At 44.7% G+C, this 12,322-nt stretch overlaps 1 pseudogene; it reads left to right on the forward strand.

The window, feature by feature from the left end:
* On the forward strand, positions 5,955 to 7,763 carry HMGN2P18 (high mobility group nucleosomal binding domain 2 pseudogene 18; annotated as a pseudogene).

Here is a 12,322-nt window from a genome sequence, read left to right on the forward strand (position 1 = left end):
GATGTTCCATTCGCACTGACTGATTTCAAATAGCAAAGTTTGTGACTATGATTTTAGAAAATGAAGTTTCTCAGCCGTATGTCCTGGATGTTAATTAACAAAAGCAGTTTTTACAGATTCACAGTCTTAGCACAAACACAAATGGCTCAGCTGTGAAGAAAATTTTCACAGCCGTAACGATGTAAACACTAAGTATTGATTTAACTAAAAATTGGAGCTGGGGACAGTGGAGCTGTGATCCCAGAACTTTGGGAGGCCTAGGTGGGAGTGTTGCTTGAAGAAATGTACAGATAAGTACCAGAAGAAGCAGCCTAGAAACTGGAGCGTAGTTGTATATGTAGGTTGTATATGTAAGGGTTAAAGAAGAGGAGCAGGGGATGGTTATTTTTCATTAAAAGCCTTGTAGAGTTACAGCTCTTTTTTTTTCTATTCTTTTTCTTTTTTTCAGACAAGGTCTTGCTCTGTTGCCCAGGGTGGAGAGCAGCGGTGCAAACATGGCTTACTGCAGCCTCGACCTCCTGGACTCAAGCTATCCTCCCACCTCAGACTCTGGAGTAGCAGGGACTACAGAAGTGGGCCACCACCACCACGCCCATCTAGTGTGTGTGTGTGTGTGTGTGTGTGTGTGTGTGTGTGTGTGTGTGTAGACGGGGTCTCCCTATGTTGCCCAGGCTGGTCTCAAAATCCTGGGCTCAAGCAATTCATCTCAGCCCCCACAAAGTGCTGCTATTGCAGTCGTAAGCCACGGCGCCCACCGAAGTTACAGCTTTCAGAATTTGTTGAGCAGGTTTCCCGGTTTTCACTTGAAAATGCCCCGCCACCCCGAAAAATATTTGTTGAACTAGTTGGCTTTTAAAACTATACAAATTCCTTTGTTAAAGTAAAAATTAAAACAAATAAAAACTTTTCTTTTTTTTTTTGAGACAGAGTCTCGTTCTGTGGCCCAGGCTAGAGTACAGTGGCATGATCTCAGCTCACTGCAACCTCTGCCTCCCATGTTCAAGCGATTAGCCTGCCTCAACATCCCAAGTAGCTGGGACTACAGGCACGCACCACCACACCCAGCAAATCTTTGTATTTTTATTAAAGACAGGGTTTCACCATGTTGGTCAGGCTGGTCTCGAACTCCTGAGCTTGTGATCCTCCCACCTCGGACTCCCAAAGTGCTGGGATTACAGGCGTGAGCCACCGCGCTCAGCCCAAACTTTTTTTTTTTTTTTTTTTGAGCCGGAGTTTTGCTCTTGTCGCCGAGGTTGGGGTGAAATGACACGGTCTTGGCTCACTGCAACCTCCGCCTCCCGGGTTCAAGCAATTCTCCTGCCTCAGCCTCCCGAGTAGCTGGGATTACAGGCACCTGCCACCATGCCTGGCTAATTTTTGTATTTTTAGTAGAGTTGGGGTTTCACCTTGTTGGCCGGGCTGGTCTCAAACTCCAGACCTCAGGTGATTCGCCCCCTCGGCCTCCCAAAGTGCTGGGATTACAGGCGTGAGCCACCGCTCCTAGCGAAAAACATTTTTTAGGCTGGGTGCGGTGGCTCACGCCTGTAATCCCAGCACTTTGGGAGGTGGAGACGGGTGGATCACGAGGTCAGGAGATCGAGATCATCCTGGCTAACACGGTGAAACCCCGTCTCCACTAAAAATACAAAAAAAAAAAAAAAATTAGCCGGGCGTGGTGGCGGGTGCCTGTAGTCCCAGCTACTTGGGAGGCTGAGGCAGGAGAATGGCATGAACCCGGGAGGCGGAGGTTGCAGTGAGCCGAGACTGTGCCACTGCACTCCAGCCTGGGTGACAGAGCGAGACTCTGTCTCAAAAAAAAAAAAATGTTTTTAAACCTGCTATACGACCTTCAAAGCCCTAGCCACATTTCCATTTCCACACCAAATCTTTCTGGTTTCTCAATCAAGGACTCACTGGTCACAATGACTTTCAAATATTGGTATACTTACAGGGGCTGGACACGAGCATTGCAGATGCAGATCCAGAAAGTCCATTTTATTCATACACAGTAGACTTGGCCCTGAAACTCCCCAGAACATTTTAGGGGCTTACACCACCACATATAAGGATAGATAATAAATTATAAAGTATTTCTGTTTTTTGGGTTTTGTTTTTTTTTTTGAGACAGAGCCTTGCTCTGTCGCCCAGGCTGGAGTGCAGTGGTACAATCTCAGCTCGCTGCAACCTCTGCCTCCCGGGTTCAAGCGATTCTCCTGCCTCAGTTTCCCGAGTAGCTGGGATTATAGGCACCTGCCACCATGCTCAGCTAATTTTTGTATTTTTAATAGAGATGGGGTTTCACCACTCTGGCCAGGCTGGTCTCAAACTCCTGACCTCAGGCAATTCGCCCGCCTCGGCCTCCCAAAGTGCTGGGATTACAGGCGTGAGCCACCGCACCCAGCCGAATGAAGTAGGTACTTTTCTATTCCCATGTATGAATGAGGAAACCATGACACAGAGAGGGCAAAAGGTAAGTAACTAGCTCAAGGTTGTGCAGATAGTAAACAGCAAAGCTGTTTCATTGGACCCAAAACTATATTCTTAGCACTTTCATTCTACTGTGTTGCTGCTACAGGAATGGGCAGTTAGGGTTCATCACAACAGCTGACATTCACTATGTGTCAGCTCTATGTCACTATGATTCCTATGTGTCAGGCACTGTGATGAGTGCTTTATGTGCATTATCTCAGTCAATCTTCACAGCAACCATGCGAAATAAGTACTACTGGCCGGGCGCGGTGGCTCACGCCTGTAATGCCAGCACTTTGGGAGGCCGAGGTGTGTGGATCACTTGAGGTCAGGAGTTGGAGACCAGCCTGGCCAACATGGTAAAACCAGGTCTCCACTGAAAATACAAAATTAGCCAGGGGTGGTGGCAGATGCCTATAATCCCAGCTACTCGGGAGGCTGAGGCAGGAGAATTGCTTGAACCCGGGAGGTGGAGGTTGCAGTGAGCCGAGATCATGCCACTGGACTCCAGCCTGGGCAACAGAGTGAGATTCCATCTCAAAAAAAAAAAAAAAGAAAAAGAAAAAAGGAAAGAAAAAGAAAAAAGAAATAAGTACTACTATCTCCGTTTCACAAATGAGGACACTGAGGCACAACCCAGCCGATCTTCCTCCAGAGCCTGCATACTTTACCACTGCAGTCTAGCGCCTCCTTCCCTAGATTGATGGAACATAATAAAAAGAGAAAATAGATCAGGCATATATACCAATGTAGCATATGATAGAGGCACCATCTTGAGTGAGTGAGGAAAGATGGATTGTTTGAAAAGCATTTGCAACTAGCTTACCATTTGAAAAAAAATTAAGGTAGATTTGAACCTCACATCTTATACCAAAACAAAGACCCAGAGCAATAAAAACAATTTTTTCTTTTTCTTTTTCTTTTTTTGAGACGGAGTCTCACTCTGTCGCCAGGCTGGAGTGCAGTGGCATGATCTCAGCTCACTGCAACCTCCGACTCCCTGGTTCAAGCGATTCTCCTGCCTCAGCCTCCTGAGTAGCTGAGATTACAGGCACACGCCACCATGCCCAGCTGATTTTTGTATTTTTAATAGAGACAGGGTTTCACCATGTTGGCCAGGATGGTCTCGATCTCCTGACCTTGTGATGGCCCACCTTGGCCTCCCAAAGTGCTAGGATTACAGGTGTGAGCCACCGGGCCCCGCCCAAAACAATTTTAATGTAAAAAGTGAAACTCTAAATATGCTGCAAGCAAATGTGGTGCATGTTTCTCTAATGCTCAGCTCAAGTATCATGTCTCCCAGGCAGCCTTCCTGCGCCTTGATTCTGTCCTGCAGGGTTGGCCCCCATCTCCCTCCTCCTGCTCTCACTGACTTTCTTTTATTGACTTTCATGGCAATAACCATGTTGAGCTGTAGGGGTTTTCTTTCTCTGCCTGTCCTGCCCCCAGGACCATTGTATTCCCAAGATCAAGCACAGTGTGGGAAATGTAGCCGGGTTTCTATAAATGTATGATGAGTGAGCGAGAGAGAGAAGGACAGTTTGGCATTAGATGGTCTCCAGAAAAACTGAGCTAGCTTTCCTGGTCCCAGGAAATACAACTACTCCAGAGACCCCAGTCTGCCAGACACAGGGTGTTTGGCCTTGGATAGCACTGGACAAGAGACAGAATATTCTTACAGTCCAACTCCTTTCTCTTCAGTCTTTCTGCAGATCATTACCCTTCCACTACCACCTCAGGATGAAGTACATGTGATTACAATAGGATATGAGAGGCAGAGCAGCTTGGGAGTTAAAAATTGGGGCTTTTGGGGAACATGTCATCAGGACCTCCTGAGGCTGTGTCATGGTTAAAAAAATAATAATAATTTTTTTTTTAATTGGGGCTTTTGCTGGGCATGGTGGCTCATACCTGTAATCCCAGCATCTTGGGAGGACAAGGCAAGAGAATCGTGTCAGGCCAGGAGTTTGAGACCAGACTGGGCAACATAGTGAGACCTTGTCTCTATAAAAAAAAATATTAAAAATGGACGGGCATGGTGGCTTACACCTATAATCCCAGCACTTTGGGGGGCTGAGGTGGGCAGATCACCAGGTCAGGAGTTCGAGACCAGCTTGGCCAACATGGTGAAACCCCATCTCTACTAAAAATGCAAAATTTAGCTGGGTGTGGTGGTGCACGCCTGTAATCCCAGCTACTGAGGAGGCTGAGGCAGGAGAATTGCTTGAACCCAGGAGGCAGAGGTTGCAGTGAGCCAAGATCATGCTACTGCACTCCAGTCTGGGCGATAGAGCAAGACTCTGTCTCAAAAAAAATTTTTTTAATATATATTTTATTTAAATATGTATCTATAAAATATATACATATTTAAATATGTATCTATTAAATAGATACATATTTAAATATGTATCTATTAAATAGATACATATTTATGTATCTATTAAATAGATACATATATTATATATATGTAAATTTTAGCTGGCATGGTAGAGCATGCCTATAGTGCTAGCTACTCCAGCGCCTGAGGCAGGAGGATTGCTTGAGCCCAGTCAAACAATTTGGAAGACAAATTCCAAATCTAAGAGCCTCTGTACTGAAGATAAAAGGATATGCAAAGTTAAACAGAACACAGAGAAGGAAGGGACTATCTGGAGGGAAGGCTTCATAGAGGCCCAGAAGCCTGAGTTGATACTGGAAAGATGAGTAAGAGTTGTTTAGGTGAGGGGAGGGGGCATGTAAGGCCAAGGGAACAGCTTGAATGAGAGGCCTGAAAGTTCATGGTGGGCAATCTTTTGTGGCTGTGTCTGAGACAAAGAATGTTTCATGGGGGCAGTGGCAAGGATGAGGTTGGAAAAGCTGGCCAGGGTCAAGTGATTAAAGACCCCTTAAAAGTATGTGTGGGCTGGGCGAGGTGGCTCATGCCTGTAACCCCAGCACTTTGGTTGGTCGAGGCGGGCAGATCACTTGAGTTCAGGAGTTCGAGACCAGCCTGGCCAACATGGTGAAACCCTGTCTCTACTAAAAATACAAAAATTAGCCGGGCACAGTGGCATGCACCTGTAATCCTAGCCACTTGGGAGACTGAGGCAGGAGAATTGCTTGAACCCAGGAGGTGGAGGTTGCAGTCAGCCAAGGTTGCACCATTGCATTCCAGCCTGGGTGACAGAGCAAGACTCTGTCTCAAAAAAATAAAATAAAAGTATTTCTGTTGGACGCTTCACCTGTAAAGATACATATAGGACTGAAAATAAAGGGAAAAGATATTCCATGCCAATGGAAACCAAAACAGAGCAGGAGTAGCTATACTTATATTAGACAAAATAAATTTCAAGATAAAACTGTAAGAAGAGACAAAGAAGCTCATTATGTAATGATAAAGGGGTCAATTCAGCAAGAGGTTATGATCATTATAAATATATATGCAGCCAACAGTGGAGCATCCATATATATAAAGCAAATATTATTAGAGCTAAAGAATAGAAGAAGAAGAAGATACAAGAATGACCCCCAGACCGACCCGCGTGCCCAGCGCCTACATCCCGTCGCTGTTGCCACCACCATGCCCAAGGGAAAGGCTGAAGGGGATCCTAAAGGAGATAAAGCCAAGGTGAAGGACGAACCACAAAGGAGATCCGCGAGGTTGTCTGCTAAACCTTCTTCTCCAAAGCCAGAGCCCAAGCCTAAAAAGGCCCCTGCAAAGAAGGGAGAGAAGGTACTCAAAGAGAAGAAGGGAAAAGCTGATGCTGGAAAGGAGGGGAATAACCCTGCAGAAAATGGAGATGCCAAAACAGACCAGGAACAGAAAGCTGAAGGTGCTGGAGATGCCAGAGGAAGTGTGTGCATTTTTGATAACTGTGTACTTCTGGTGAGTGTACAGTTTGAAATACTATTTTGTATCAAGTTTTATAAAAATGCAGATTTTTTAAATTTATTTTTTATTTTTTATTTTTATTTTTTGAGACGGAGTCTCGCTCTGTCTCCTAGGCTGGAGTGCAGTGGCGTGATCTCGGCTCACTGCGAGCTCCGCCTCCCAAGTTCACGCCATTCTCCTGCCTCAGCCTCCCGAGTAACTGGGACTACAGGCGCCTGCCAGCACGCCCAGCTAATTTTTTGTATTTTTAGTAGAGACGAGGTTTCACCGTGTTAGCCAGGATGGTCTCAATCTCCTGACCTCATGATCCGCCCACCTCGGCCTCCCAGAGTGCTGGGATTACAGGCGTGAGCCACCGCGCCCGGCCCAGATTTTTTTTTTTTTTTTAAGCTATGTTGTTAGCACACAGAACACTTCATTGTTGCTTTTAGGAGAAGGAGCAAATGTCACTAATAGAATGTCTCTGAAGCTGGATTGATATGGGGAAATCGTCTTTTCCTTCTAGTTCCGAGAGACTTCCTCTTGGCTCCCAGGAGGAGGGATTCCCTGACTTTGACACACATGGCCACCTTGGCACAAAAGCCTTGTGAAAGGGAAAAGCAAATTTGTTTTTATGTCCTCTTCTCCCTTTCCATCTTTCAGCATAGACTTAACTCCCTTAAGCCCAGACATCTATTGGAACCTGACCTCCAATCATTGGTTACTAGTGTGTCAGGCAATCTGGACTTTCCAGTGATGTCACTGAGATGGCACCTGTCAAAAGAGCAATGGTGCGGGGTGTGGTGGCTCACGCCTGTAATCCCAGCACTGTGGGAGGCCGAGGCAGGCGGATCACCTGAGGTCGAGAGTTTGAGACCAGCCTGGCTAATATGGTGAAACCCCCTTCTCTACTAAAAATACAAAAAATTAGCCGTGTGTGGTGGCGGATGCCTGTAATCCCAGCTACTTGGGAGGCTGAGGCAAGAGAATCACTTGAACCTGGGAGGCGAAGGTTGCAGTGAGCCGAGATCACACGACCGTACTCCAGCCTGGGCACGACAGAGCGAGACTGCCTCTCAAAAAAAAAAAAAAAAAAAAAAAAAAAAAAAAAAAAGTAGTGGTTCTGTTTCTAGATTGTAGATCTTCAGATAAATTCTGCCATTTTAATTTCACTTCCTGAAAGTCAGGGTTGACTTGTGAAAAGTTGTTAAACAACATGCTAAATGTGAAATGTCAACTCTCACTCTAAACTTTCCCTGTTCAGATCATCAGATGAAGACTTCATTGGGTTTTATAGTGGCTTTCTGATTTCTGGTAGTCCATTGAAGAAGGGAGTTTGAAAGTTGTTGTATACTGTTAATGATTGTCTGCCCATGTCCTGCCTGAAATACCATGATTGTTTATGCAAAGTATCTTTAATAAAACTGGATACAGTTAGGCTTGGGGGAAAAAAAAAGAATAAACAGCTGGAGGCTTCAACACCCAACTTTCAGCATTGGACAGAACTCCCAGATAGAAAATCAACAAAGAAACATCGGATTTAATCTGCACTACAGAACAAATTGACCTAACAGATACTTATAGAACATTTCATCCAATGGCTACAGAACACACATTCTTCTCCTCAGCATAGGGATCATTCTCAAGGATAGACCATATGTTACTCCCAAAACAAGTCTTAAAACATTCAATTCAAAAAAATTGAAATAATATCAAACATCTCTGACCACAGTGGAATAAAACTAGAAATCAATAACAAAAGGAATTTTGGAAACTATTCAAATACATGGAAATTAAACAATATGCTCCTGAATGACCAGTGGGTCAATGAAGAAATTAAGAAGGAAATTGAAAAATTTCTTGAAACAAATGATAATAGAAACACAACGTACTAACACACCTATGGAATACAGTGAAAGCAGTACTAAGAGGGAAATTTATAGCTATAAGTGCCTACATCAAAAAAGAGGAAAAACAGCCTTGGCAACATGGCAAAACTTTGCCTCTACAAAAATACAAAAATTAGCCAGACGGGGTGGTGTGTGCCTATAGTCCCAGCTACTTGGGAGGCTGAGGTGGGAGGATCACTTGAGCCTGGGTGGTCTAGGCTGCTGTTGGCCATGATTCTCGACACTGCACTCCAGCCTGGGCAACAGAGCAAGACCCTCCTCTCAAAAAAAAAAAAAAAGAGGAAGAAGAAAAACAACCAAATAACCTAATGATGCATGTTAAAGAACTTGAAGAGGCAGAGCAAACTGAACCCAAAATTAGGAGAAGAAAATAAATAATAAGGTTCAGATCAGAAATAAATGAATTTGGGCCGGGCGCATTGGCTCACGCCTGTAATCCTAGCACTTTGGGAGGCCAAGCGGGGCAGATTGCCTGAGCTCAGGAGTTTGGGACCAGCCTGGGCAACACAGTGAAGCCCTGTCTCTACTAAAATACAAAAAAGTAGCTGGCTGTGGCAGCATGCACCTGCAGTCCCAGCTACTCAGGCTGAGGCAGGAGAATTGCTTGAACCCGGGAGGCGGAGATTGCAGTGAGCTGAGATCACACAACTTCACTCCAGCCCAGGCAACAGAGTAAGACTCTGTCCCCTCTCTCCCCCACCCCCCCAAAAAAAAGGAAAGAAAGAAAGAAAGAAATGAATAAATGAATTTGAAATGAAGAAAACCCCATCTCTACTAAAAATACAAAAAATAGCTGGTAGTAGTGGCATGCACCTGTAATCCCAGCTACTCCAGAGGCTGAGGCAAGAGAATCACTTGAACCTGGGAGGCAGGGTTTGCAGTGATCCAAGATCGTGCCACTGCACCCCATCCTGGGCAACAGAGTGAGACTCCATCTCAAAAAGAAATAATAAAAATAAAAATATAAAATAAAAAAGATCAGGCCAGGCGCAGTGGCTCACACCTGTAATCCCAGCACTTTGGGAGGTCCAGGCGGGCAGATCACATGAGGTCAGGAGTTCAAGACCAGCCTGGCCAAGATGACGAAGCCCCATCTCTACAAAAAATACAAAAAAATAGCCGGGCATGGTGGCGGGTGCCTGTAATCCCAGCTACTCGGGAGGTTGAGTCAGGAAAATCACTTGAACCTGGGAGGTGGAGCTTGCAGTGAGCCAAGATCGCGCCACTGCGCTCCAACCTGGGCAACAGAGTGAGACTCCATCTCAAAAAATAAATAAATAAATGAAATAAAAAAGATCAACGAACAAAAAGTTGTTTTTTTAAAAAGATAAACAAAATTGGCAAACGTTTAGCCAGACTAAGAAAAGAAAAAGAAAAGACCCAAATAAATAAAATCAGAGATTAAAAAGGAGACAGTGCATCTAATACCGCAGAAATTCAAGGGCTCACTAGTGGCTACTATGAGCAACTATATGCCAATAAATTGCAAAATCCAGAAGAAATGGATAAATTCCTAGATACATCTAACCTACCAGGATTGAACCATGAAGACATCCAAAACCCAAATAGAGCAATAACAAGTCACGAGATCAGAGCTGTAATACAGTCTCCCAGTAGGCTGGGCATGGTGGCTCATGCCTGTAATCGCAGCACTTTAGGAGACCAATGTGGGAGGATTGCTAGAGCCCAGGAGTTGGAGACCAACCTAGACAACATAGAGAGACCCTGTCTTTATTAAAAAAAAAAAAAAAAAAAAAAAAATCCAGGCGCAGGGGCTCACGCCTGTAATCCCAACACTCTGGCAAGCCAAGGTGGTGGATCACTTGAGGTCAGGAGTTCCAGAGCAGCCTGGCCAACATGGCGAAACCCTGTCTCTACTAAAATTACAAAAATTAGCCAGGCGTGGTGGTGCATGCCTGTAATCCCAGCTACTCCGGAGGCTGAGGCAGGAGAATAGCTTGAACCCGAGAGGCAGAGGTTGCAGTGAGTAGAGATCATGCCACTTCTCTCCAGCCTAAGCGACAGAGCAAGAGTCTGTCTCAAACAAAAAAAAAAAAAAGAAAGAAAGAAAGAGGCCAGGCATGATGGGTCACGCCTGTAATCTCAGCACTTTGGGAGGCCAAGGCAGGTGGATCACGTGAGGTCAGGAGTTCGAGACCAGCCTGGCCAACATGCTGAAACCCCATCTCTACTAAAAACACAAAAATTAGGCCTGGCACGGTGGCTCACGCCTGTAATCCCAGCACTTTGGGAGGCCGAGGTGGGCAGATCACCCGAGGTTGGGAGTTTGAGACCAGCCTGACCAACATGGAGAAACCCTGTCTCTACTAAAAATACAAAATTAGCCAGGCATGGTGGTGCATACCTGTAATCCCAGCTACTCGGGAGGCTGAGGCGGGAGAATTGCTTGAACCCAGGAGGCAGAGGTTGCAAGTGAGCAGAGATTGGGCCATTGCACTCCAGCCTGGGGGCAACAAGAGCGAAACTCCATCTCCAAATAAAAGACAAAAAACAAAAAAACCAAGACAGTCTCACTCTGTTGCCCAGGCTGGGATTCCTTCCAAAGTGCTGAGATTATAGGCGTGAGCCACCATGCCCGGCCTAAGACTCTGTCTCAAAAAAGAAAAAAAATTTTAAAGAATAACTAATACCAGTCCTACTCAAACTGTTCCAAAATATAGAGGAGGAGGGAATACTTCCAAATTCATTATACAAGGCTGGTGTTACTGATACCAAAACCAGACAAAGACACATGAAGAAAAGAAAACTACAGACCAATATCTCTCATAAATATTGACGCAAAAATTCTTAGCAAAATACTAGCAAACAAAATTCAATAATTCATTAAAAAGATCATTCATCATGACCAGGTGGGATTTATCCCGGGGATGCAAGGATGGTTCAACTTATGCAAATCAATCAATGTGATGCATCATATCAACAGAATGAAGGACAAAAACCATATAATCATTTCGATTGATGCTAAGAAAATGTTTGATAAAGTTCAACATCACTTCATGATAAAAACCCTCAAAAAATGAATATAGAAGGAACATACGTCAACATATTAAATGCCATATATGACAGACCCATAGCTAGTAAAATACTGACTGCAGAGAAACTGAAAGCCTTTCCTCTTAGATCTAGAACATGACAAGGATGCCCACTTTGACCGTTGTTATTTAGTATAGTACTGAAAGTTTTAGCTAGAGCAATCAGACAAGAGAAAAAAATAAAGAGGACTGGGCGTGGTGGCTCATGCCTGTAATCCCAGCACTTTGGGAGGCCGAGGCTGGCGGATCACCTGAGGTCAGGAGTTCGAGACCAGCCTGACCAAACATGGAGAAACCCCGTCTCTACTAAAAATAAAAAACTAGCTGGGCGTGGTGGCACATGCCTGTAATCCCAGCCACTTGGGAAGCTGAGGCAGGAGAATCGCTTGAACCCAGGAGGCAGAGGTTGCAGTGAGCTGAGATCACGCCGTTGCACTCCAGCCTGGGTAACAAGAGCGAAACTCTGTCTCAAAAAAAAAAAAAAGAAAAAAGAAATAAAGAGCATCCAAACTGGAAAGGAAGAAGTCAAATTATCCTTGTTTGCAGGTGATATGATCTTATATTTGGAAAAACCTAGACTTCACGAAAAAAACATTAGAACTGATAAACAAATTCAGTAAAGTTGCAGGATACAAAGTCAACATACAAAAATCAGTAGCATTTCTCTATGTCAATCGTTAACAATCTGAAAGAGAAATCAAGAAAGTAATCCCATTTACAATAGCCATGAATAAAGTTAAATACCTCAGAATTAACTTAGCCAAAGAAGTGAAAGATCTCTACAATGAAAACTACAAAACACTGATGAGGCCGGGAGCTGTAACTCATGCCTGTAATGCCAGCACTCTGGGAGGCCAAAGTGGGAGGATTGCTTGAGCTTAGGAGTTTGAGACTAGCCTGGGCAACATAGTGAGATCCCATCTCTACAAAAATAAATAAGAAAGAAAGGCTGGGCACGGTGGCTCATGCCTATAATCCCAGCACTTTGGGAGGCCGAGGCAGGTGGATCACCTGAGGCCAGGAGTTCAAGACCAGCCGGG

The sequence above is a fragment of the Homo sapiens genome, chromosome 1 (assembly GCF_000001405.40).
Source record: "Homo sapiens chromosome 1, GRCh38.p14 Primary Assembly".
NCBI lineage: Eukaryota > Metazoa > Chordata > Mammalia > Primates > Hominidae > Homo > Homo sapiens.